Consider the following 24340-nt stretch of genomic DNA (forward strand, 5'->3'; position numbering starts at 1 on the left):
CGGTATTTTTAAGACTCACTAGTGTGCTACTTCTAATAGTGCTTAGTCAGGGACCCCCAGGGGAGTGCAAGGGAGAGAGGGTCCCCAGCAGGGATGCCAGACCTTCTCTAGCTGGCCGTGGGTGCTGGCCTGGCCACCTGTAGCCCTCAGCGCACAGGTGGAGGTGTAACTGGTATTCCTGTGGGAGTGACAGTGTCCATCTTTGACATTTAAGAGCCTGCTCCTTCAGATACATTTACCATTGCCACCACTGGGGATTGGGGCGGCACTGGCCACCCTTGGCGGCACATCTCCAGCTTACAGCAGAGTCTGAGTGTCTCTAGCATACCTCTGACTGAGGCACGTTAGGCTTGTGACATCACATCTTCCTAGGTGGGGCAGGGACTTTACAATACATGTGACAAGAGAAAAACCTTACAGCTTTGTATTGAAAGATTTCTTAAGTTTTTAGTTTATTGACTAAATAACACTGAACAAAACGATTCTACTATGAAACGAAAGGATTGGACCTCTGTGAGGGTTGTGGCAATGTTTCAATAGCTGAGCAACGCAGGAGGCACACAGGCCATCGTTGGGGGCAGGTTGGAGGCCTTCAGTTCCTTTACAGCTATGGGCTCCCATCAAGGGTGAGTGCATTGAGGAGACATTGCCTAGAACTACTGGACAGACATCTCACCCAGGAGACGGGAGCATGGTACTTAACACACTTCCATGCACCGTTCAGAATCGCTAAACACAGCAGTGCAGAGGCAGATGACAAGGGCCATTACGGGGTCACCAAGGGAGGAAATAGGGACTGGAGCCCCCAGGAAGGAGAGCTGAGGCTCCCTGTGGGCTGGGGGCTGGCTTTGTGGCCCTGCAGCCAGCACCTGGAGATGAGAGACCTGTCCCTAGGCCTCCCTGCAGCCACCACCTGGAGACAGAGTCCATAGACCTCCCAGCTGTGCCCACCTGGGCAGCTGCACTTTCCAGAGGATTATTCCTGCAGCTTCCACCCTCACAGCTCTCAGCTGTCTTTGCAGGTGCATCTCTGGAAAACAGTTCTCATCAGGGCACCCTGTGCTTCCCAGTTTCTAGTCATTTCCCTTCTCTGAAGGTTCTAGTTCAGACTCTTGAGCAAAGCCTTCAAGACCTCTCCTTAAACTGCCCTCCTCCTCTTCCGTCCAGCCACCTGGTTGCCTCCTGGCTCTTCCTGCCCTAATACCGGCTGCCCGTACGGGACTGCTCACCTCCTGCAGGGAGCCGGACGTCTGTGGCGATCTCCCTCCCGCCATGACACCCCCTACCTGTCCTCCATCATATGGGACACACACACACACACACACACACCCCTACGCACACCCACACCCCACATGCACATCATACATGCCCACCAGAAATACACACACCATACACACCACCCACCCACATGCACACCATACATACACATACACACAACACAGACATTAAATACACATGCCACTACACACAGTGCATACCACACACAACACACACCACACACACACACCCAATCACATACCACATATACCCACACCACACACACACACACACCCAATCACGTACCACATATACCCACACCACACACACACAAGCCTTTCCTAATTATCTAAAGGAGAAGCTTTTCTGGAAAGCATTCCCCAGAGCTTCTAGAGAAATTAGTGTCACCCTCTTTTATGGTTTCATAGTAATGTTTTTATATCACCAGTATAAATACTATCATATAAAAAGGGTAATCAGTGTACCATAGTAATTAATTCTTTAAGTATGTCTCTTCTGCTAGATGATGAGCTTCCTGAATGCAGGCTCTGAAGAATTTTTTCATAGCTTTAAATCCACTGCATGGAATAGAGAAGGCTCTCCATAAACTTCCTGAGTTTAAATGGAATCGGATTGGAAGGCAGTAGCAAGGCACAAAGTGCAGTGAGAGCCAAGCTCAGGAAAACCAGTGTCCTTGAGCAGAAAGACTTAGGAAGGGTGCTCGCTAGCGAGGAGGGAGGCAACAAGGGGCCAGCCCGTGGGGAGCCTTAAGCACCAAGAGCAGGGCGGTGCACACTTTGTCTGGCACGGGCTGGAGCAGGAGAGGGACCGTCCTTGCATTCTGTGCGGATTTCTATGGCAATGACATGGAGGGAAATGAAGGTAGGATCAAGAGTCCCACTGGGAAGTGGCCTGGCAACCAGAGGTGTCCGCAGGACACCTGAGCCTCAGCAGTGTCTGTGAGGATAGGAGGGAAAGCCAGACCCCAGCCTCTCTGGGGAGAATCTGGATGCATGCGGGAGGAATGGATGGAAGGGAGGGTGTGGGGCTGAGTGGCGGCGGCTGGGCTGTGCTCTCCCACTCAGAGAGCCTTCCCCAAAGCGGGGAAGGCTGCTTGCCTTTTGGTTCATTTCCTTTCTTTAATACACAGCAAATTCCTGGTCACCCTTTGTTGTTGGCTGGTTGGGTTTGTTGCTTTCCTTGTTGTTTACAAGCTCCAGGTATTTGTGACAGATCTTATCATCTCCTTCCCTCTTAGTCACCTCTTGGCCCAACTCTGCATATTTTACTCTTTTTAACTCTGCTCCTGTTCTGACCTCCCCACTCTCGGAAGCATATTTGCTTGGTGTTTTCAGATTTTATTTCATTTTGGCTATTTAAAGAGATGCAATAAACTAAATATGGCCTGGCAAGTCTGGTCTTAAAATAGAAAATATATATATATGTATATTTGTGTGTGCATGTGTGTCTGTGTACATAGGCGCATGTGTGTGCCCTTGAGTGTGCATCCGTGTGTGTGTGTGTGGCCGGTGTACTATAAACCCAGGGCATCAGTCTCCTGACGTCATTGCTTGCACTTTTTGCCATTCTCCCCCAAACACTAGTTTTCAGCCTGTATTTTCTCAGTTTCCCCAAAAATGATTTTTTAAGAAAAGTCAAATCAGAAAGTGATCAGCCTCTACCGCCGGACTCTGCTTTAGTATCCATCCATGTCTCTGAGGTCTTGGGGCTCATAGGAATGTGCTTATTTTCATAGTCCCATTAACATGAATAGTTTCAGAAGGGCCAGCTCAGTTTTGTCTTCAGTTTTCTCACTGGTGATTGTGCAGGGGTGGAATGGCAATGGAATGCATAGGGGCATGAGTGAACTTTTCGGGATGACGGAAGTACTCTATATTTTGATTGAGGTGTTATTACTTCAATGTGTCAAAATCATCAAAATTTTTACATTTCATCATTCTTAAATTATACCTCAGTAAAGTTGATTTTAAAAGTTAAACACATACCCTTTGCTCGAAAATGATCCTGTAGAGCGTTTATGCCTTTATATGAATTTAGCTAATGCATTCTCTCCCCAGGGCCATTTGCATTTTAGGATATAACTGATAATGTGGAAGGTACTAGCAAGGAAGTATGGGATGGGAATCTGGGGATGGAAGTACCTTCCTGCTTTCAGTAAGTTACATAGGCACTCCTTATTCATAAGGCTGAGCTTGGTTTCAGATAAATAATCAGAAAGTAGGTTGTGCAAGGTTTTAAGAAGAGGATCCAAACTGGGACTTAGTAACAAACTCTGAAACTGCCACTTGCATTCTCTGAACTTCACATCAAGTCAATACTCTGTATGCTACAATTCCATCTTACATTAAAAAGCAGGTCTACTAAGGGACCCGATTCCCAAGAAATAAATGTGCTTTTTACAATGCTTGATTTGCAAGTCAGTTTCAAAAATAATTTGGTGAAGATATCAGAGTTATTTTTACAAGATTAAAAATCAGTATTCAACAAATTATTTTATTCACTTTGACTTTTTTTTTTTTTAACCTGTCTGTGACATATGTCTCCTTTGATCCGCACACACACCCTGGCCAGTAGGAAACAGGCACACTCTGCTGGTGGCCTCTGGATGGGGACTGGAGCCTGATCTTGGACCTTCCCTGTCTCATCTAGCTCAGCCCCCATGCTGTCATAGGCCGCAGCCAAGTGGCCTTCCAGGTTTGCACTGGAAGGAGCCACAGCCCCTCCATGGAGCCATCCCAGACACAGCTTCTCCACGGAGCCCTGTTCTCAGCCCTGGAGGCCGGCAATGTGCTTCACCCACTGCCTGCCACATTCCAGCCAACAGAAGAACTTTTGACCGAGAAGTAGAAACTAGGTGATTCAGATCAGATCTCTGTTGTAGACTCCACTACCCTAATGATGAATTTTTAAAATTAAACATTCCCTAACAAACCTCCAAGACTCTTTGCTTGGGTCGGTCAAAATACAGTGGAATGTGAGAGCACATGTCAGAATTCTCCAGCCTACGTTTGCTGTTGTTGTTGTTTTGAGACGGAGTCTCACTCTATCGCCCAGGCTGGAGTGCAGTGGCGCAAACTCGGCTCACTGCAATCTCTGCCTTTCAGGCTCGAGTGATTCTCCTGCCTCAGCCTCCTAAGTAGCTAGGACTATACGTGCGTGCCACCACGCCTGGCTAGTTTTTGTATTTGTAGTAGAGACAGGGTTTCACCATGTTGGCCAGACTGGTCTCGAATTCCTGACCTCAGGGGATCTGCCTGCCTCGGCCTCCCAAAGTGCTGGGATTACAGGTGTGAGACACCACATCCAGCCCAGCCTACTTTTATACTATGAACAAAACTTCTTAGAATTACCAACTTAAGTACAATAGAAGCTTTTGAAATTAGCTGGGGGGAAATTGAGTCTCTAAGTAAGGAGGAGTAAGAGCAAGAAGATCAGAAGGAACCACAGAATCAAACACTTTCAAAAGGAAAGAAAATTAGGAAATTGTTCGGTGCCATCCCTTCATTTCAGAGGGGAAGAACTAAGGACTAGAGAAGTCAGGTCACCCCGACAGGACCCTATGTCCCTCCTTGTCGCCTGACCTCTCCCTGTGAGTCTCAGTGGTCCTGGTCCCACAGCAGGTGCTTGGGGACCCAGAAAGAGGCCAGGTCTCCTGACACCCAGCCCCGCTCTTGTTGGGTCCCTGAATCTGGAATGGTTACTCATGTTGGGGGAATTTTATATTCTTTTTTCCAAAAGTTGATATCCAGCTAGAATCTGTCCTTCCTGAGAGCTTGTCACTGCCCTTTCTCTCCTCCCTGCCTGTACTCCTGTTCGCTTGGGACTCACACTCCTTGCAAAAAAGCTTGTTTCACCCAGGGGTGAGTTTTGTAACTAGAGCAGGGAGTCCTTGCCTTTCATTCCAATGCATTCCCCAAAAGCAGAAAAGTGTTATGCGATGGGAGTTTGCATTTTGGACCAAAGACTCCGCAGCAAATAAATCATGGAAACGAACAATATGTCCTTAAACCAAGATGTAACTGTAAACCTCTACTGTCTTATGAAATAACAATACTGTGCTTTGAGTAGCCAGACCACATAGTAGCTGGACTCTAGACTCTAAGCAGGGATGAAGTCAGTGGCTGCTGATCTGGGCCTTCCCCAGAAGGATGCCAAGAGATCAAGTTTTGTTTTTAAGTTCTGTGAATCACAGACATTATTTTTGTAATCTTTTTTTTTATGACACAGAGTCTCACTCTGTCACCCAGGCTGGAGTGCAGTGGCACGATCTCAGCTCACTGCAACCTCCACCTCCCAGGTTCAAGCAATTCTCGTGCCTCAGACTCCCAAGTAGCTGGGATTACAGGTGTTTGCCACCATGCCCAACTAATTTTTGTATTTTTAGTAAAGATGGGTTTCTCCATGTTGGCCAGGCTGGTCTCGAATGCCTGACCTCAAGTGATCTACCCCCCTTGGCCCCCCAGAATGCTGGGATTACAGGCATGAGCCACCATGCCTGGCTTTGTAAAAAATTTTTAAAGCCAATTTGCTTGTTTAAAAAACTGAATCCACACTGGTAAGTTTTGTTTTAATAAAAAAATTGTGAGTAAGTTGTAAAGCTTTTGATAAGTTCAGTGGCTCCTGTAGGCAGACAATAAATTGCTAAGTCCCAAAGTGTTGCAAGATTCTGGAGAGTACTTTGTTCATACTTTGAAGAATATGCCTGATTATAAGGCAACACAAATTACTGAAGCCTTGAAATGATGAGGTTGTTTCCATTTACTCGCACATAAAATAATATATCTAAAACATCTAGCAACTCTCAAAAGAAGAGAGTAAAAAGCTTTTGAGAAATCAAATACAATTCATTCCAATTCAACTTGAAAATTCCCAACAGTCCGTGTTGCATTTTATACATCTTGAACCAAACCATGGCTTTGAGTAAAGGCTTCATTTAAAAACCTAACCTATATATGGTGGGTGTTCATGTTCTATTAAAGCAAGGTCCCTGTCCTAGTTGGAGGGAACTTCCCTAGGTCCGGCAGCATAAACCAGTGCCTGTCGACCAGGGAGTGTCAGGAGGATGTGCTGCTTCCTGCCCCCTCCCACACAGGGAGCAAGGCTGTGCTGAATGGAGATATTCTAGTAAGGAGGAGAGTGTATGTGAGAAGGTGTATGTGAGAAGGTGTGGCATCCACAACAAAACTAATAAAGCATCAGCAACCTTAGGTGATGCGGTTTGGCTATGTCCCCACCCAAATCTCATCTTGAGTTCCCACATGTTGTGGGAGGTAATTGAATCACAGGGACAGGTCTTTCTCATGCTGTTCTCGTGATAGTGAATAAGTGTCATAAGAGCTGATGGTTTCATAAGGGGGAGTTTCCCTGCACAAGCTCTCTTCTCTTGTTTGCCACCATGTGAGATGTGCCTTTCACCTTCCACTATGAGTGTGAGGCCTCCCCAGCCACATGGAACTGTAAGTCCATTAAACCTCTTTCTTTTGTAAATTGCCCAGTCTTGGGTATGTCTTTATCAGCAGTATGAAAACAGACTAATGCATTTGGAAACCAAGAGGCTGATGGTGTTCAGGACACACTGTCCCCATTTATAGCACCTTGGCATTTCAGAAAATCGCAAAAGCAGGAAGGCCCCTCTCACTTTCCCCTCCTTGCCCTTCTCCCCTGGGGCAGGTTATAAGATCCTCATTTGGGAGAGTCTTTCCCAATACTTGGAGGAAAGGAACATCCTTGTCTCTGAAGACACAGAGCACAGAGAAGAATCAGAACAAACAGGCCTTTCTCAGTGACCCCAGTTTATCACCATTAGCTCACTCCCAGTTTGTCTAATCACCTCCTCCACCACTATCCACTCTTCATCAAACCTAAGTACAAAATACCCAAGTTTGCCTGTTTCTGTGGGTCTTCCTTTCCTTGTGATAACTCCTGAGTCACATGAAACACATACTAAATATGTGTGCCTGTTTTCCTCTTGTTACTCTTTAGTTACAGGGAAGGGCCCCAGCCATGAACCTAGCAATGGGTGAGGAAAGAAATCTTTCCTTCCCTACTGATATGGTTTGGCTGTGTCCCTACTCAAATCTCATCTTGAATTGTAGCTCCCTCAATTCCCATGTGTTATGGGAGGGAACCAGTGGGAGATAATCGAATCATGGGGGCAGTTTCCCCCCATACAGTTCTCATGGTAGTGAATAAGTCTCATGAGATCTGATGGTGAATAAGGGGAAATGCCTTTCACTTGCTTCCCATTTTTCTCTCTTGTCTGCTGCCATGTAAGACATGCTGTCCACCTTCTGCCGTGATTGTGAGGCCTCCCCAGGCAGGTGGAACTGTGAGACCATTAAACTTCTTTCTCTTTATAAAGTATCCAGTCTTGGGTATGTCTATATCAGCAGCATGAAAACGGACTAATACACCTACCAGGCCCGGATTTGTTTGGCAATAAAGTGATCCATTCACGCCCAAGAAGTGGGTGGAGCTGGGAAAGGCCAGACCAACCATTTGGAATAGTGTTTTTTGATCCACCCCCAGGAGGTGAGGATTGGCAGGGGCTGAGGGGAGTGCTCACCTCCAGCAAGGTGAGCTGGAGCCCACAGCAGGACTCCAGCCTCAGCAGAGGAACTGGAGAGCAAACCAGGAAAGGCAGACAGAGCTGACTCACGTGCGAGGGTGGGAGAGGTCGCACGGCCTGCCCGGACCCTGATGAGCTGAGCACAGTGAAAACAATGCCAGGCCTCACCTGCCCGTGCTTACCGGCTGGTGGCAGGGGGGCTGAGCAGGTGTTGAGGTGTTCACAGGTGAGTAGGAGAGGAAAGGCAGACGTCGGCCTAAAGGCAATCGCAAGGAGAAATGCGTTGAGAATTGTAGCACTGTATCCATCAAAAAGGAAGCTCATCTTTCACTGGGTGTCTTTCTAATTGTTAGACTTGACACTGCATTTGCTGCCCTGATTTCTTGTCCTAACCTTCAAGCTTGTTAGAACAGGGACTCAGGGACTCTGTTTTCTTCTCCTGTGCTCAGTGCAGGGCAGCAGGACTCACTTGCTAAGTGCTCACTGACAGATGTAAGATTATTGTTAGAGATATGGACCCGCTTGCTCTTCTGAGCCTCCGTGATTCTCATTCGGTCCTTTGCTGTCATTAGAATCGTCTGGGGAGAATTTTGTCACTCCTGCTACTCTGGCCAAACCTCGTATACTTCAATCAGAATGCTCGGAGTTGGGGCTGCAGCAACTGGAATTGTTTCAAACTCCCCGGGTGACTGCCCTAGCAGTCAAGTTTGAGAACCACGGGCATGGTAAAATCTTTTCTCAGCCTGAGCAGCCCATTAGCTTCACCTAGGGAGCTTTAACAATCACTAATGCCTAGGCCTCACCACCCTCCATCCCGTGTTCTGACTTAATTAGCGTGGGGTGGGGCCCCTAAAACAACATTCTAACAGCTTCCCAGGCGATGAGAATGCACAGCTAGGATGAGCTTCTCCTCTGAAGCATGAAGACCCACAGAATACTGCAGAGTTGCTGGGGGTGGCCCTGCCCAAATTCTCGCCTAAAACCCCAACTTTCAATGACATTGTGGACCTGCTTTCGTGTTATTATAAGGTTTACAAATTTCTATGCCACCTATCAGACCATTTTTTAAGGATGAAATCAAAGTTTCTATAAGTTGTGTAGTTCTTTCCCTGTGCATTTTATCGTAATATTGAAAAACGACAGTGAAAAGCAACCAAGGCATCTCGGCAGCATGCTGCTGACTAGTTCACGCAGTTACCACCAAAGCGCATGGACGGGACCCAGAGCATGAGCGTGTGCCCACTATCGGGGACAGAAACCTACCGCGTTCGAGTTTTGACATATTTCTCGCAGTTGTTGAAAACTATGAGGCATGAAATCCAGATTTATGACTTTTTAAAAAGTTATTTGTGGATTCCCAAGACGATTATGTTCCCATCACTTATGTAGCCTTAAAAGAAAAAAACCTCAAATGATGCTTTAAAAAAATCCAAGTTTGGCGCTCATTGAGTTCCAGTGTCAGTTGTCTGAATCGCCTTCAGCGAAAGTCAGGGGGAAAAAATACATTCCGCCTTCCTTTAACTGCTAGTTCGTCATGGAGAACAGAAAGTCCCATTTGCATGTGGCTTTTGGAAAAGCTAAGCCGGGAGCGATTATCCTGATGCGCTTTTACTTTTTGCATAAAATAAGAATTTGAGGAGGATGTCCCGGGAGAGTGAGCCACTTCTCATTTCCCAGGCCTCGCCTGCCATGCTCTTTGACAACATCATAGATTTTATTTTTGCCGGGAATCTCATTATCAAAGCAATGCCCCCCGCCCCCCCCCCACACACAGACTGCCAGGTAAACCACAGAGGGTGAGGGGGGTGCAGGTCATGGTTGCCTTATTACACACCCTCCTCTGCCATCACCTCCTTTTTTGTCTGGATAAGTTCTTTGGCAGTTCTCTCAACTTTTATTTCTGAAACATCCTGAAACATCTCAGTATTAAAAGCAAGGCCGATTATATAAACGATACTCCCAGGCCTGACAACACATGGTTTTGCCTGAGGCCTTTACTGCCAAGAGCCGTAAGGACCCTCTAAGTCATGTTCGCTATTTTTACTGGCCTTGAGAGTCTCCTTGCTTTGACATCCTCTTGTCTCCATTGTCAGACTGTTAAATGCTCATGCTTCTGGTTCTCTTAAATAGATGCAGATGTGTGGGGCTGGGTTGCCACTGAGCCCTCTTCTCTTTTGCAAGAGCTGGGATGCAGACAGAAGGCGGTTTGGAAAACACGAGCCACCTTGATTTTAGACAAACTCTAAGTTACAATCAGGTGTCTTCATTTATGACATTTAACTTTTACTTAACCTAATCAAGCCATGTTGTTGGCTACTGATTAGAATATCCTTTTATAACTTACCTTAAATCTCACTACTTGTTCCAACCATCCCAAAGTCTGGCGTCAACTGTCATTGCATGCTGCTCTTTTCAGCCTTTCTAGTTCGACTCTTAGCAAAAGCCATAATCTTCCTCCAGTCTGTTTCCTTTCTGCAGTGACAAAATTGCCCAGGGAAAGGAAAAAGAACAGCATCTATCTTCTTTCTTTTTAGCTCCCTGGTTTAAGGCTTTCTTTTCCCCCATGATGAAAAACTATAATCATTCTGCTTAGAAAGTACAGACCCCTAAGCCCACTTCCAAAAGAAGGATGCATTTTCAAGTCTGTTATCTTTACTTTCCCAGAGCCTGGGGGTCTCCCAGGCCAGAAGTTGACAGAACTGTCTTCATACACTCGAGACAACTTCATGCCCATTTCCTTAAAACTAAGAACATAAGACGCTGATTTTTCTTCCAGAAAAAAAAAAACCTTTCTTGTTCTTTCAAGAACTGTTTCACGGACAGTGTTTCATATTACAAAATTGAAACTTGGGACTTTTGAACTGCAAATTTAGCAGAAAATGAATCCATGCGCTTGTGGCTTTGCTTGTCACCTCTACTCAGATGTCTCCCAGACCCCTCTCCAGCTGCAAGCTGCAGGCAGAACTGTTCCTCTAAAAGAAAACAAACTCCTGTTTTTCCTACTACTGCTACTGCTTCTACTGTTGCTACACACACACATACACACACACTCTCTCACACACACACTCACACACACACACACACACTCAGAAAACACTTCTGACACCAAATGTATGGGTTTTTTTCATGCCAAACAATTCTGCAGTTCACTGCAGACACCAGCTGAGTGTCCTACAATCCAATTGTGGCACCGCCTGCCTGGAGTTAGCAGGTGAAGGACTCAGCCCCGCAAGCCTGCCCCCCTACCCATGCCAATTGCTTGTCCCAAATCCCCGTTCTAACTGACCAGCGGTAAATCAGGGGTTGCCACAACCCCCTCCTGGGATTTGTAACTTGCTGCAGCAGCTCACAAAACTCAGAGAAACACTTAACATTGACCAATTCATCACAAACGTTATTTTGAAAGGATGTGAATGAACAGCCAGAGAAGAGATGCACAGGGCCCGGGGCCGGGGAGCAGGGCATACGGAGCTGCCATGCCCTCTCAGGGGGCATCACCTCCTGCACCAGGGTGTGTTCAACCCCAAAGCTCCTGAACCCTTTAACGTCAGGATTTTTTTTTATTTTTTTTTAAAGACATAGTCTCACTCTGTCTCCCAGGCTGGAGTGCAGTGGCGCCATCTCAGCTCCCTGCAAGCTCCGCCTCCCGGGTTCTCGCCATTCTCCTGCCTCAGCCTCCCCAGTAGCTGGGACTACAGGCGTCCGCCACCACGCCCGGCTAATTTTTTGTATTTTTAGCGGAGACGGGGTTTCACCGTGTTAGCCAGGATGGTCTCGGTCTCCTGACCTCGTGATCCACCCACCTCGGCCTCCCAAAGTGCTGGGATTACAGGCGTGAGCCACCGCGCCCGGCCTGACGTCGGGATTTTTAAGGAGCTTCATTACATAGGCAGGACTGATGAAATCATTGGCCATTGAGTGAACCCCAGACCTTGCGGGGGTGGGGCTGAAAGTTTCAACCCTCCAAAGATTGGGCACGTTCCTCTGGCACTCGGCCCCCAGCCTCCAGGAGCCACCTCATTAGCATACACGCAGGTAGGGTTGGAAAGGGCTTGTGATAAATGATGAAGGACGTTCTTCTGCATCGCTCGGGGAATTCCAAGGGTTTAGGGGCTCACTGCCAGGAACCCGGGGCAGAAACCAAATACATATTTCTCGTTATAGCACAGTGTCACCCCCTCACTCTGCCTAATTTGGTGACTAGCTGCCCCATCACATTCTGCCTATTTAAGCCAAGCCCCCCTTCCCCAAGGCCAACCTCCTCTCCTCCACAGCCAGCCCACTTCCCGGGCGTGATAACTCTTCTGCCCCAGCTGGAGAGTTGTTCTGAGGCTTTCATCCTTCTCCACGTGCCGCCTGGCAGTGCTGCTGCCTGTCTTTTGAGGGCTACCCCTTTCTCCATTACCTCTGCGACCTGGCTAGTCCACATCCTCCCCGACCCGTGCTCTTCAGCACCGGTGCCTGCCCCGCTCAGTGCATGTCCTCATCCCTGCAGCCTCCACCCTGGGCTTCCTGACCCCCACTGCGTCCGGCACCGCTGGTTGCGGGCCTGCTCCGGCTCTCTCTGCCCAGCTGGCTGGCCTGCCTCTGTTCCGACCTCCCCTGCCTGGCCTGGTGTTCTGGGCGCCTCCTCCGCTCACATCGCCGCTTCACCTGCTTTTGCTATCTGCACTTTCCATGTCCTGCTCCTTCTCCCAGCTGGTGGTGCCTCTGAGAAGAGGACTGAGAACCGCCTGTGAACCCCGCAATTTCGTGGGTGTGGTGGAAGCAAAGGCAGAGCGTGTGAGTTTAGTGGGCGTGCGCCACTCTTTCAAGAAGTTTTGTTACAAAAAGATGCAAAGGAAGTGAAGAGGGAAGGGGTTTGCAGGTTGGGAGAAATAACAGCATTTGTGTTCTTTGTTGTTGTGACGGTTTTGAGCCAAAACATGACAAACGGGACAGAAGGAAGACCTGATGGAGCGTGTCCTTGAGAAGGCGAGAGGCATGGGGTTGGCCTGCTGGGGGATCGGCCTTCCATATGGGGGTTCCTCTCCAGCAGCCTGGGGTTCTGAGGAAGGCAGGCCTGCAGCAGGTGCCGGGTGCCGGGAAGCAGGAGACATCTCTGTTACTCCACTGTCCTCAGTGGGGAGCCACGGCTGAGCGTGAGAAAGGGCTTATAGGCTGAAGGCCAGGCAGACGGGAATGGCCAGGCAGAGGAGGGGAGGACGAGCCGGGTAGAAACAGTGGATAGAAACACGGAGGGCCACACGGCCAACGGTCAGGGGACTGGCACACCAGCCAGATTCACCCGCGGCGATGCCGGTGCAGAGAAGCTCGGCATCTGAATTTAACCCGGGTTGTGGTTTGACTCAGTCTGACGTGGAGAGAAGGGCCAGGGAGTCACGGGGGGGTGGTGGGCTGTGTGCTGGTTTAGGGGCTGGGACATGGAGGGGTGAAGGCGGGAGTCAGTCGCATCCGCTGGGCAGGGGCCTGGGGCTGCAGACAAGGTGGGAGGTGGCAGCTACGGAGGAAGCTGCAAGGGATTCTGCAGTTCCCCGGGGAGACAGGAGCCCAAGGGACCGGGGGGTGAGGGGGTTGGAAGGGGCACCTGTGGATGTCCTGAGACTTCCAGGAAGTGGGACAGGATCAGTGATGGAGATAGAGACAGAGTCATCAGGGCCGAGAGGAATGACAGTAACAGCGAGGTTGAAGTGGGCACCCCCGTCTAGCAGCACGGGGTGTGGAGCTGGCTTGTGGACGGCCAGGGAACAGGACGCTTTGAGGTGGCAGCCAGGGGCAGGGATGCTTTTGATCGCCAAGGGAGAAGACTTGATGCAGAGTTTCAGGAGCCTCCATGACTTCCCCATCTGAAGACCTTTTTTACTTTAATGGGATTGAAGTGATCACCAGAATAGTTAATGGTGTGCTCCGTTCCTATTTCTCTGGTTTTTCTAAGGTCCACAGGCTGCAGACATCGTTTGTACTTCTCCCTGGTGCCAAAGACCAGTTAATGCCGACTTTGATGGGCTCAGTGCAGGCCACATTGTCACGTGTAACTCTACACTGAGAATTATTTTAGAAGGTTAGACTCCTAAAAATGTTTTGTTTTTCCAAATGGTGGCCTCTGGGTCTGACTTCACCTCTTTTGCAATGATCAGCACTAGGATATGGTTTTGGAGACGGTTGTGCAGAGCCAGGGCTTTCACCAAAGCTTGGCCGCTCGGACAGGACTCACGATGGAAGACGGTCAGGTGCCCCAGGTTTCAGATGCCTGCCTCCTCCCATGCGTGGTGAGGGGCCTGCCTCCTTTATAGCTTTCCGCTGCCAGGCTGGCGCCTCCTCCCCTCACCCCCATCTCCTCCAGAGGAAGACCAACTTAATCAAATCTTACCACAACTACGTACTGCCTCCTGGAAAAAGCCTGATTTCTCGCCCCCTCTTGTCCCTCCCTGCGTGGAGGCAGGCCCTTTGTCCAGTGCCCATGTGGCTTGGTGGGTGGTCTTTCTAAGTTATCAGAGGACATTAGCAAACACACACGTCCGTTGGCCTAACGCCCAATCTGCAGCCAGCCTTATGAATAATCAACGTGACTTGTCTCTGTAGTTCAATGCCTATATCTGCCTCTCAGTTGTTATTGAAGCTGGGGGCAAAAAAGATGGATTATTCATTGGAAACCTCAAAACCTCGACAGCTGAGCTTTCTTACACATGCCTGTGTGGCCCCCGTGGTATCTTAGTGTTCACCTCCCCATTTGCACACAGGAAGCCAGTCACATTACTGGATTCCTGGTGAGTTTGACTTTTCATTCTGTCTTGAATCTCCCTCCCTTCCCCAACCCCATACCCCACCCTACTCCATCCCTTTTTCTTGGGTCTTCCTGATCTCAACCCCTCCATCTGTCCTCCACGTTGTCTGCATAGTGAGCCTCCTAACACACGGATCCCCCCATGGCCTTGTCTGCTCAGGTTTCTAAGGTCCCCAGTAACCACGCTCACACTGCGTAAGCACGAACGGTCTGGTCCACACCTCATCACTTGGCGTGCATGTGAATGTTTTAGCAAGTTAGCTCTTGCAATTATTGCCTGCCGATCCCCTGGGCTGCATTCACACATGCCGTGAGTCTTCAGACACCCAGGTCTCAGGACCTGAGGGGCTCCTGTGTGCTTTCCGTGAGGAACTGTCTTTCTGCTCACGACTCCATGTCACATGCCACCATCAGGAAGTCCTCCCTCAATGCCCCAAGCCTACTCAGGCTCCCACTTTCCTGCCCATGAAATGTGTGTAACTTCTAGGGTGTCCTGAGAAGCAAAGACCATGTCCCTGCATTTTTGCATCCTCAGAACTTAGCCTGATACTCACAATGAAATGAGTTCACTTAACGACACAACGAACGAATGTGCAGGTACTTCTGCAGGGGGTGATGTGGGGATGCGTGCATTGATTCTGTGGCTCAGCCCTGAGTTGGGGGCAGGAGGCAGGTGCTGGGAGGAGGATTTTATGTCTTAGGAAGCACAGGAAGGCCTTGCCAGGATCCAAGAAAAAATGGAAAGTAGACCAATGTAAGCGTTAAAAGAACACATTTTATCTTTTAAATGTGTGTACACAGTACAGTTGACTTTTTTGTATACAATTCTATGAGTTTAAACACACATATAGATTAGCGTAACCACTAATTATAAGATTGTAGGGAACTGGGGAAAAAATGCATGCATTAAGGAATGATACGGCATATTTGGGGGACAGAGAACAGGCTTGATGAGGACAGAGTCTATTTAAAAGAGACAGTGGGCACCGCAATTGGAGGGGAAGGCGGGGCAGGGTTTTAGAGAACCCCTGAGTGCTGGGCTACAGGATTCAGTAAAGTTATTGATGAGATTGGCTGCATTGTGGATTCTGAAATATTTATTTAATACCTCGAGGAGGGTGTGAGTAGATTGTGCTGATGATCGCATAACTCTGACTATACTAAGAACCACTGAGTTGCACCCAGAGCTTGCATTACTGAGCGCTTTACCAGTTAGGAAGGTTTCGCGTATTCCGTACTTTAAATCTAAGGTGACTTGACTGTAAGGCCTGCGAGTATTTCCTGGACCACTCAGAGGAAGAATGCTGTGAATGAGAACTACAGCCCTGTAAGACACGTCCTGTATCATTGTTGAGATGGGAAAGTGCATCTTAAGACAGTTAGCAGGCCAAGGAGCGACTTTAAAGGGTGAGCTCTGCCTAGAGGGAAAAGCGAATGCACTAATTGAAATCCAACACCCTGGGCTGGAGTAAATGAACCGTCAGCCACCCATGGGGCTTCATTTCTTGGTGATGGATAAATAGCTGGGATTCCTTGAAGCTAGAAGCCATGGGGAAATTCTGTTCTGCTTAGCTTTGTCAACAGTACAGTCTGCCTTAACTGACTTGGAGGTAAATAGATTCGGAGAGTGTGAGCTAAAACCCATTAAATCAGGTGAAGACACAAAGGCAAGCACAGCCAATGTGGTTTAAGGCAAAGCTAATGTCCCTTCGGCCTTAACTGACGGACTTTCCTAGCAGTCCTCACCCTCTGCAACCCAGGGCTCCTAGGAGGAGCTCATGGCAGAGAAAGCCTTCTGGCTTCTGCCACTGCCTCCTCAACTACATGTATACATCAGTGTATATGCATGGGTATGAAATGAACATTTTATGTCACCATTAGCAGAGGAAAGCTGGAACTCTTTCAAACCCCACCCAAAATTCACTCTGACTACTGAGCAGTCCTGTTGTTTATTTTGGAGGCCACTTAACCCTGGAGCAGTCCATAAGCTCCACTTAATCCCCTCTTCTTTCATGATTTCTTTTAAAGAGACATCTTGGGTTCTGTAGGGGAACATTTGTGCTTCACTGTAAAACTCCATTTGAGGCCTGCTCACGGCCTGCCACCTTATCTGCTTGCAGCCTTCATTGCTTGGGAGCTGTTTTACAGCTTCATAAGTTGTAAATAGCTGCTGGCAATGCAAACGCGCTTGTCTGTGGGCAGGAAATGAATTCTGTCTGGTAGAGGGAATGCTTCCTACCTTGTAGGAAAGCCAATATTTTTTGTCCATTAGCAAGTTTATATCAGTATTCCTAATCATTAAATGTGTTCTTCGGATTGTCCTTTGAACCAGTTATAGCATTTGAGTTAAGTAAAATGAATACACTGTTGTTTATTTTATACCTGTATGAAAGTTATGGGTTTTTTGGTGGGGGGGGGGTGTTTTTTTTGTTTTTTTTTTTGTTTTTTTTGAGGTGGAATCTCGTTCTGTCGCCCAGGCTGGAGTACAGTGGCGCAATCTCGGCTCACTGCAAGCTCCTCCTCCCAGGTTCACACCATTCTTCTGCCTCAGCTTCCCAAAAGTTATGATTTTTAAAAAATTATCTTTTAACATTTTTTAGCTAGAAACTTCTGGGTCAATATATAAATAGATGAGCCTGGTTATATCTGAGGTTTTCACTGAGGTAACAACAAAAATAAAACAACACGATGCCACCGAGCCATCGTTCCCCAACTTACGTCTGTCCCCTCCACATGTCCTGCACGCACTCCTGTTTCTGGGGTGTGTGCATGTGTGTGTGTGTGTAAAGGTTTGCAATGAAATTAGAATCATTGGTTTTTGTTGGGGGTGGGGAGTTGTATTGTTTTGAGACAGGGTCTCGCTCTGTCACCCACGCTGGAGTGAAGGGTCACAATCACAGTTCACTGCAGCCTCAACTTCCTGGGCTCAAGTGATCCTCCCACCTCAGCCTCCCAAGTAGCGGAAACTATAGGCATGTGACACCATGCCGGGCTTGCTTATCTATGTCTGTCTGTCTGTCTGTCTATCATCCATCTATCTATCTATCTATCTAATCTATCTATCTATCTATCTATCTATCTATCTATCTATCTATCTTTCTATCTATCTAGATGGGGTCTGCCTATGTTGCCCAGGCTGGTCTCAAACTCCTGGGCTTAAGCAATCCAACTACCTCAGCCTCCCAAAGTGCTGGGATTACAGGTGTTAGCCACTTTGCCCAGCTGAAGTTAGAGTTTAGAGCACATTGCTGTAAATTGCGATTACCAAGGGTATTGAAAAATCCATGAAAATAATAAACAGCAAGTTGACTTCAGAATTTGTGCGTTTGAGGCTTTTCGCCTTGATCTCCAGGTAACACACAGGCTCCTTGGCGAGAGCCAGTGGTGATACAATGAGAACACCGCCTGCTGCATCTAATATTTGCAGCTTAGAATTCACAGCTAACTTTTTAAAATGTACCAGTGTGGGGGAAATGGTGCTTTATTTGCTGGATAGGAAAATTGGCCAAGATCAGAATTCTGAAGGCAGTGTCACAGCACAAAGAAACTAGCTACTGAAGTCACATCCTAAACATTCGAGAGGTTGATTTCCTTTTCTACTGCATTACAAAAAGGTTTATTTACTGCTTATCCATATAGTGAGATAGAGATTAGATCTCAGTTTTTGGTTAAGAACAAGCATTATCATAAATGTGTGTGTGTGTTGTGTGTGCATTTTACAGGATTTTTAAAAATACACAGAGAATTTTTCACAGTTGTTAACTCTGGTAAATGGTGGGGAAGGCAGGGGTGAGAACTGATCTATTATTCATAATCTCAATGATGAACAAGCTATTTCCAAAAATAGGTGGATTATTTAAAATTATTATTATTAGGATATTTTGGGCTTCTAGAAACAAAAACTTAACAAAAAAGTCACTTAAAGAATTTAGGGGTCTTTTTTTCTGACATGAAAAGAACAAAATAAAGGATGATTTCAGTTTGGTCCGTCAGTGACTTAGAAGTGTTTTTCAGGACCCAAGGCTTTCCGCCTTCCCACTGGGCCATTTTCAGCGTGTCCCGTGGCCTCTGGGGGCTTCAGTGATCCAGGCGTCACATTAGACATGACAGTGTCCAGCAAAGAGAAGTATTTCTGCTTTGCATCTGTTTATAACAGTGAGAAAAACTCCCCCAGAATCCCACCAGCAATTGATTCTCACGTTGCATTGGCCAGGATTGAGGCCAGCTGTGCCATGCTTAGCGCAGTCATTTGTATTGCGATCACCGTGATTAGCTCAGACCCATCCTGGGACTTCTCCTTGGGCTTGAAGACATGGCCAGGTGGAGATCGGTGCCCCCCAGAAGAAGTCTTTGTTCTGCCAATAAAGAAGACACAGACAACAGTGTCTAACAGGAAAAGCCCCTTTTTACTTTATACCCTTCCGTATTGCTTCAACAATCAAATACTTTATTTTATTGTTTGAGACAGAGTCCTGCTGTGTCGCCCAGGCTGGAGCGCAGTGGCGCCATCTCTGCTCACTGCCACCTCCACCTCCCAGATTCAAGCGATTCTCCTGCCTCAGCCTCCCGAGTAGCTGGGATTACAGGCGCCTACCAAAATGCTCGGCTAGTTTTTGTATTTTTAGTAGAGATGGGGTTTCTCCATGTTGGTCAGACCGGTCTCGAACTCCTGACCTCAAGTGATCCACTCACCTCAGCCTCCCCAAGTGCTGGGATTACAGGCGTGAGCCACTGCGCCCAGCCTTTTTTTTCTTTAGATAGAGTGTTGCTCTTATTGCCCAGGCTGGAGTGCAGTGGCACAATCTCAGCTCACTGCAAGCTCCACCTCCCGGGTTCACACCATTCTCCTGCCTCAGCCTCCCGAGTAGCTGGGACTACAGGTGCCCACCACCACGCCTGGCTAATCTTTTGTATTTTTAGTAGAGACAGGGTTTCACCATGTTAGCCAGGATGATCTTGATCTCCTGACCTTGTGACCTGCCCGCCTCAGCCTCGCAAAGTGCTGGGATTACAGGTGTGAGCCACCGTGCCCGGCCAGATACTTTCATAATTAACTTTTTGAATGTATGTGTGTCCTACTTTAAAATGAAAGATACTCTTTCTTGATTCCATTTCCATGCAGCTTGGCCCCGTGATGCTAGGGACCATGGCTTTTTCTTGCAGTGTGACTCACCATTTGCCAAAGCAAATCTCTTGCCTTGCATCAGCTCAGTCTCTTTGTCTGCAAATTAAATCAGTAGCCCTTTCCACTGCCTATCTCGCAGGATATAGTGCCAAAAATACTCACAAAGTCACCATCCAGGAAGAATCATTTGCCCCTGCTGCCACTGTCTCCTGCAAGGCACATGAAAGCTGCTGAGGCTCGGTATTTATTATGCTATAAAATTCAACACAAGGGGAGAGAACAAGCAAATTCCATGAGCATATATAAGTGTATCGGATCTACTCCATTGATGCTGGAGCTATATTTTCACAGTAGGATCCTCTTTTGTTAAATATTACAGTAGTAGGAAAACCTAGCAGAAGAATAGTTCACTGTTTCTCTGATTTTGTGAGTGATGTGGGCTGTGGAATTTACTCTTTGCTGCTCTTCCCCCAACCTGCACCCTACCCCTGCCTCCGAGGTCAGCCTTGCCTGCTGCCCCTGACTGAGAGGACCCCGACGTCACCCCACCCCAGGTTATACTCCTCTGAGAAGGTCCCTTCATCCCTTCCCCGAAATACATCCCCTCAAATCTCTAATTTGTGTGAACCATTAATTTCAGATATTGTAGGAAAAATAAGCAGGGAAAATACGCAAAACAAAACGTGGATGGCACATAACCCATAGCATCTCGCAGGGTGTGTACACTGAAGAAGTCTTTACCAACCCGTAGTTAGGAAAATGCGTGTTCAGAATAACTGGGCCTTCCCGCGGTCCTCTGAGTCAAACAGATGACCACACATTGCCAGAATGAGAAGCAGAGCAGCTTCACATCCCTGCTTCTGAAATGTTTCCCAACAGCTCATTGAAACAATCTCGAGACACCTCTCTCCCCCAAACCCAGCGTGTTTCGGGAATGGCTCTAGGAATTCTACTTTTGCATTGCCTCACTCTCCCTTTCCCCGTCCAGACCATGGTATTGGATTTACAGCATTTCTTACATCCTATAAAAGTCCTTTTCTGCCAACAGCCTGGAGCGCGCTGGATTGAATGACGCTCTCCCAGCACAGCCGGCATTTGCAGTGCATTAGAATCTTGCCGTCACTTGCACACGTCACCAAGTTACTTTAGTGAGAGTTCAGCCTAGCTATGGCTCTGCTGTGCTAACAGTTGCTTTTCAATATTTTGTTTGAGGCTTTGGAATAATTCAAAGGCCTACACTTTTTTTTTTCTAATTTGTTTCCTTGGAGTTTTACGCATGGCTACTTCAGAAAACGTCAGTTTTATGTCATTAATGTCATCATCTTCTCTGGATTCTCAGAATTCAAAATTCACAGGAGCATGGCAGCCTTACATTCAGTCTATTCTTTTCATAAAAAAGGAAGTAAACTGCAACAGTTCGCCTACGCTATGGAGACTGGAGTGGTCCCACCTCTGTAATTCTATCTCTGTCTGCCCCACAGCTGTGCCGAAGCGAGTGCCACTTGTCTGCAGGGCCGTACCGCGGAACCCTCTTTGCCGACCAGCCAGCGATGTTTGTCTCGCCTGCCAGCAGCCCCCCAGTGGCCAAGCTCTGTGAACTAGTCCACCTGTGCGGAGGCCGGGTCAGCCAAGTCCCCCGCCAGGCCAGCATCGTCATCGGGCCCTACAGCGGAAAGAAGAAAGCCACAGTCAAGTATCTGTCTGAGAAATGGGTCTTAGGTAAGAATCCAGGCACACAGACGCTGTGGTGTGGTCCAGATCTGTGGACAGGTTTCCAGGGAGGGCGGCGTCAGGCTCACACCCCCTTCCACGCAGCTGGGGCACCTGGGTTGATGTCTCAGCCTCCAGCATCTGCCCTGGCAGCGTCGTGTGGTCACCCTCGGCATTCCCGCTCCTTGCTGTTAGCAGACGTACAGTTCACGAGGAAATGGGAACTCTAACTGGACTTCCCCACTTGACTTCCCTGGCTCGTGTGAAAAATCCAGGCTACCCAAAGCCACCCCGGGCCACCCCTGTGGGCACAGACTCTCCGGGCACCCCTCTTAGACCCTCCCTCCCCAGTGCCTCCTTGTCCTGCTTCAGGAGTCCCTGGCAGCGCCCGGCACTGGGGCCCAAGCCCCCGTCCCTGTCATCTCCTCTCCCAGGTACATCTCATGATCACTCCGTCTGCTCATGTGCTCAAAGGGTGTTAAAAGACGTCAAACGACTCCATCTTTTATTTGACAAAGTGAGCACAGTGTGACCGTAATGTCCCACTCTGGCGTTCATGGAGCTGCGCCAGGCGCCGTGTGCGATTCTGGGGAGGAAGAGGTGGTAGGAGCTGAGCTGAGATCGGAGGAGGCTGGAACCCCACGCCGTGCTAACACACGGGCTCCAGGAGACTTGCAGGTGATCCCCGGAGAAGAGGGTTAAGGAAGAGTGTGAAGCAAGGACGGCCTGGGGAATGCGGAGGAAGCAGGGGCAGCGTCTGTGCTAGAAATTACCTGCCCTGTGGTGGAGTCATATGTGGCGGGACAAGCCTAGGGCTCCACTGTGGGGAAATCCCACACCCTCCTCCATGGGGTTGTGATAAACATGTTAGTTTGCTTGGGCTGCCATCGCAAAATACTACAGGCTGGGTGGCTTCAAACAACACGCATTGTCTCTCAGTTCTGGAGGCTGGAAGTCTAAGATGGGGTATCGGCAGCGTTGGTTTCCCCTGAGGCCTCTCTCCTGGGCTTGCAGACAGCTGCCTTCTTCCTGTGACCTCACGTGGCCTTTCCTCCATGCACACACATCCCTGGTATCTCTGTGTGTGTCCAAATGTTCTCTTCTCTAAGGATACCAGTCAGATTGGATTAGGGCTCACCCAATGGCATACTTTTATTTGCTTTTATTTATTTTTTTGAAACAGTGTCTCGCTCTGTCACCCAGGATGGAGTGCAGTAGCATGATCACAGCTTACTGCAGCCTCAGCCTCTCTGGCTGAAGTGATTCTCCTGCCTCAGCCTCCCAAGTAGCTGGAACTACAGGTGCACACCACGATGCCCAGCTTTACTTTCTTTTTTTTTTTTTTTTTTTTGTAGAGATGGGGTCTCCCTATGTTGCCCAGGATAGTCTCAAACTCCGGGGCTCAAGCGATCCTCCTGCTTTGGCTTCCCAAAGTGCTGGGATTACAGGTGTGAGCCACTGCACCCAGCCCCAGTGGCATCATTTTAACTTGTCTTTTTCAAGGCCCCATCTCCAAATACAGTCTCATCCTGAGTTACTGAGGGTTAAGACATCGACATACGAATTTTGGGCAGACACAATTCAGCCCATAACAATGAATCACTCTAGTTTCAGCCCCTGGGGCCAAGATCCTTACCCGACTTTAGAGGTACATCCCCTCTCTCTCTCTCAATCTCTCTCTCTCTCTCCTGTTCTCTCATTCTTTTTCTCTCTCTTTGCTTCCATCTCCTTCCATGTTTCCTATTCAGTCTCCTTTCTTAGTACTTTTGCATGTCTCTAAATCCTAAACTTCTGGCTTTTCTCATCATCTGCTCAACATTATCCCTTAATAGACAAGTAGATACTGTGTTTGTTCAAGTTACATTCGTATCTAACTACGGACATTTTACAAGTATCTTTTACATGACTGATGGTCATCCTTTCATATATTTTAGAAGTGTGGCAATCAAAAGTAATTTTTTACTCTGGTGCAGAGTAATTCATCTTTTGCCTGGAAACCAACTTCCAAAAAAAAAAAAAAAAAAAAAAAAAAAAAACTATTGATTTTAGTCACAGTCCAAAAGCTAAGAGGCTGTTTACTCTTTTCTAAATGCCAAGAATATAACCTTCAAAACATCCTATGTTCTGAAACAGAGGTTGTTGTTTTGTTTTTCTGGAGAAGTGTATTATCAAAATGCCACGGACTGCAGAACAGAACTGGGCCTGAAAGCATGTCTGGGCCAGCTGACGGAACTGTGCACACGATTGATATCCACAGTGCATATCAACAGGCAGTCTTTTTGGAGTTTGCAAAGCGTGTGCCGTGCAGTGCCCGAGCCTGCCTCTGCACTCGTGTTTCCAGGTTGGGTGGCTCTGACAGCCCCTTCCTGTGGGTCCTGCGTCCTTGTGTGGAGTCACGCTTGCTCGGCAGCTGCTCACTTCCTCCGGTTGTTTTGCCGCTCGGCTCTCCCGCCCGTGGGTTTTCAGGAGGCGAATGTCTACCTGCTTAATCCTGAGGCTTCGATCCCGCAAAGCCCTTCAGAGTTCTCTGACTTCCAGGCCTGGGCCACAGGCCCCAGCCTCTTTTTCTTTCCTCCTGTAACTTGTGTCCTGTTTCTGATTTCTCACCAATTATGCCATCTGCCTGTGCCCTTGGTAACATCTGGGTATTGTGTGTGCTGCAGACCTCACCCATGTGAGACAGGTCCCCTCACTCGCCGGCCACCAGACCCCAGTGTAGTGGGCGTCTCCAGCGTAGTGGGCGTCTCCAGTGTAGTGGGCATCTCCAGTGTAGTAGACCTCTCCAGTGTACCAGGCCTCTCCAGCCCACACTCTCTGAGATGTAAGATCACGTAGTTCTCAAGTATTTATTGGCTTGTATTTTTCTCTTTGTGAA

General features: G+C 48.1%; 1 protein-coding gene, 1 long non-coding RNA gene and 1 other non-coding gene across 12 annotated transcripts in view, besides 3 other annotated features; 1 reads left to right on the forward strand and 2 right to left on the reverse strand.

The window, feature by feature from the left end:
* Window positions 1-24340, forward strand: part of MCPH1 (microcephalin 1) — a 241882-nt gene that overhangs the window by 193591 nt on the left and 23951 nt on the right. For 9 of the 10 annotated variants that reach the window (NM_001322042.2, NM_024596.5, XM_047422234.1 and 6 more), the window contains one exon: window positions 21237-21474. The exons of the other annotated variant lie outside the window; for it this stretch is intronic. In NM_001322042.2, the coding sequence (NP_001308971.2) occupies window positions 21237-21474 (238 nt within the window). The remainder of the gene's footprint in view (window positions 1-21236; window positions 21475-24340) is intronic. 10 annotated transcript variants of the gene reach the window in all.
* Window positions 2189-2688: an enhancer, noted in NCBI's record as "H3K4me1 hESC enhancer chr8:6459927-6460426 (GRCh37/hg19 assembly coordinates)". NCBI's record gives its function as "activates a minimal SCP1, AML or CMV promoter by ChIP-STARR-seq in primed H9 embryonic stem cells {active_cell/tissue: H9 hESC(primed)}" and the evidence as "EXISTENCE:reporter gene assay evidence [ECO:0000049][PMID:30033119]".
* The window catches only part of MCPH1-AS1 (MCPH1 antisense RNA 1), a 92607-nt gene continuing 83652 nt past the window's right edge, over window positions 15386-24340 (reverse strand). Inside the window, exons 3-5 of the long non-coding RNA NR_125386.1 lie at window positions 21206-21418; window positions 19918-20007; window positions 15386-18985 (exon numbers count right to left, since the gene is read on the reverse strand). This is a non-coding gene — a long non-coding RNA (MCPH1 antisense RNA 1). The remainder of the gene's footprint in view (window positions 18986-19917; window positions 20008-21205; window positions 21419-24340) is intronic.
* Window positions 15858-16359: an enhancer, noted in NCBI's record as "NANOG hESC enhancer chr8:6473596-6474097 (GRCh37/hg19 assembly coordinates)". NCBI's record gives its function as "activates a minimal SCP1, AML or CMV promoter by ChIP-STARR-seq in primed H9 embryonic stem cells {active_cell/tissue: H9 hESC(primed)}" and the evidence as "EXISTENCE:reporter gene assay evidence [ECO:0000049][PMID:30033119]".
* Window positions 21907-22003, reverse strand: MIR8055 (microRNA 8055). The gene has a single exon (NR_107022.1). It is a non-coding gene; the product is annotated as a microRNA 8055 (primary transcript).
* Window positions 23440-23940: an enhancer, noted in NCBI's record as "H3K4me1 hESC enhancer chr8:6481178-6481678 (GRCh37/hg19 assembly coordinates)". NCBI's record gives its function as "activates a minimal SCP1, AML or CMV promoter by ChIP-STARR-seq in naive H9 embryonic stem cells {active_cell/tissue: H9 hESC(naive)}" and the evidence as "EXISTENCE:reporter gene assay evidence [ECO:0000049][PMID:30033119]".

This window comes from Homo sapiens, chromosome 8, assembly GCF_000001405.40.
Source record: "Homo sapiens chromosome 8, GRCh38.p14 Primary Assembly".
Classification (NCBI taxonomy): domain Eukaryota; kingdom Metazoa; phylum Chordata; class Mammalia; order Primates; family Hominidae; genus Homo; species Homo sapiens.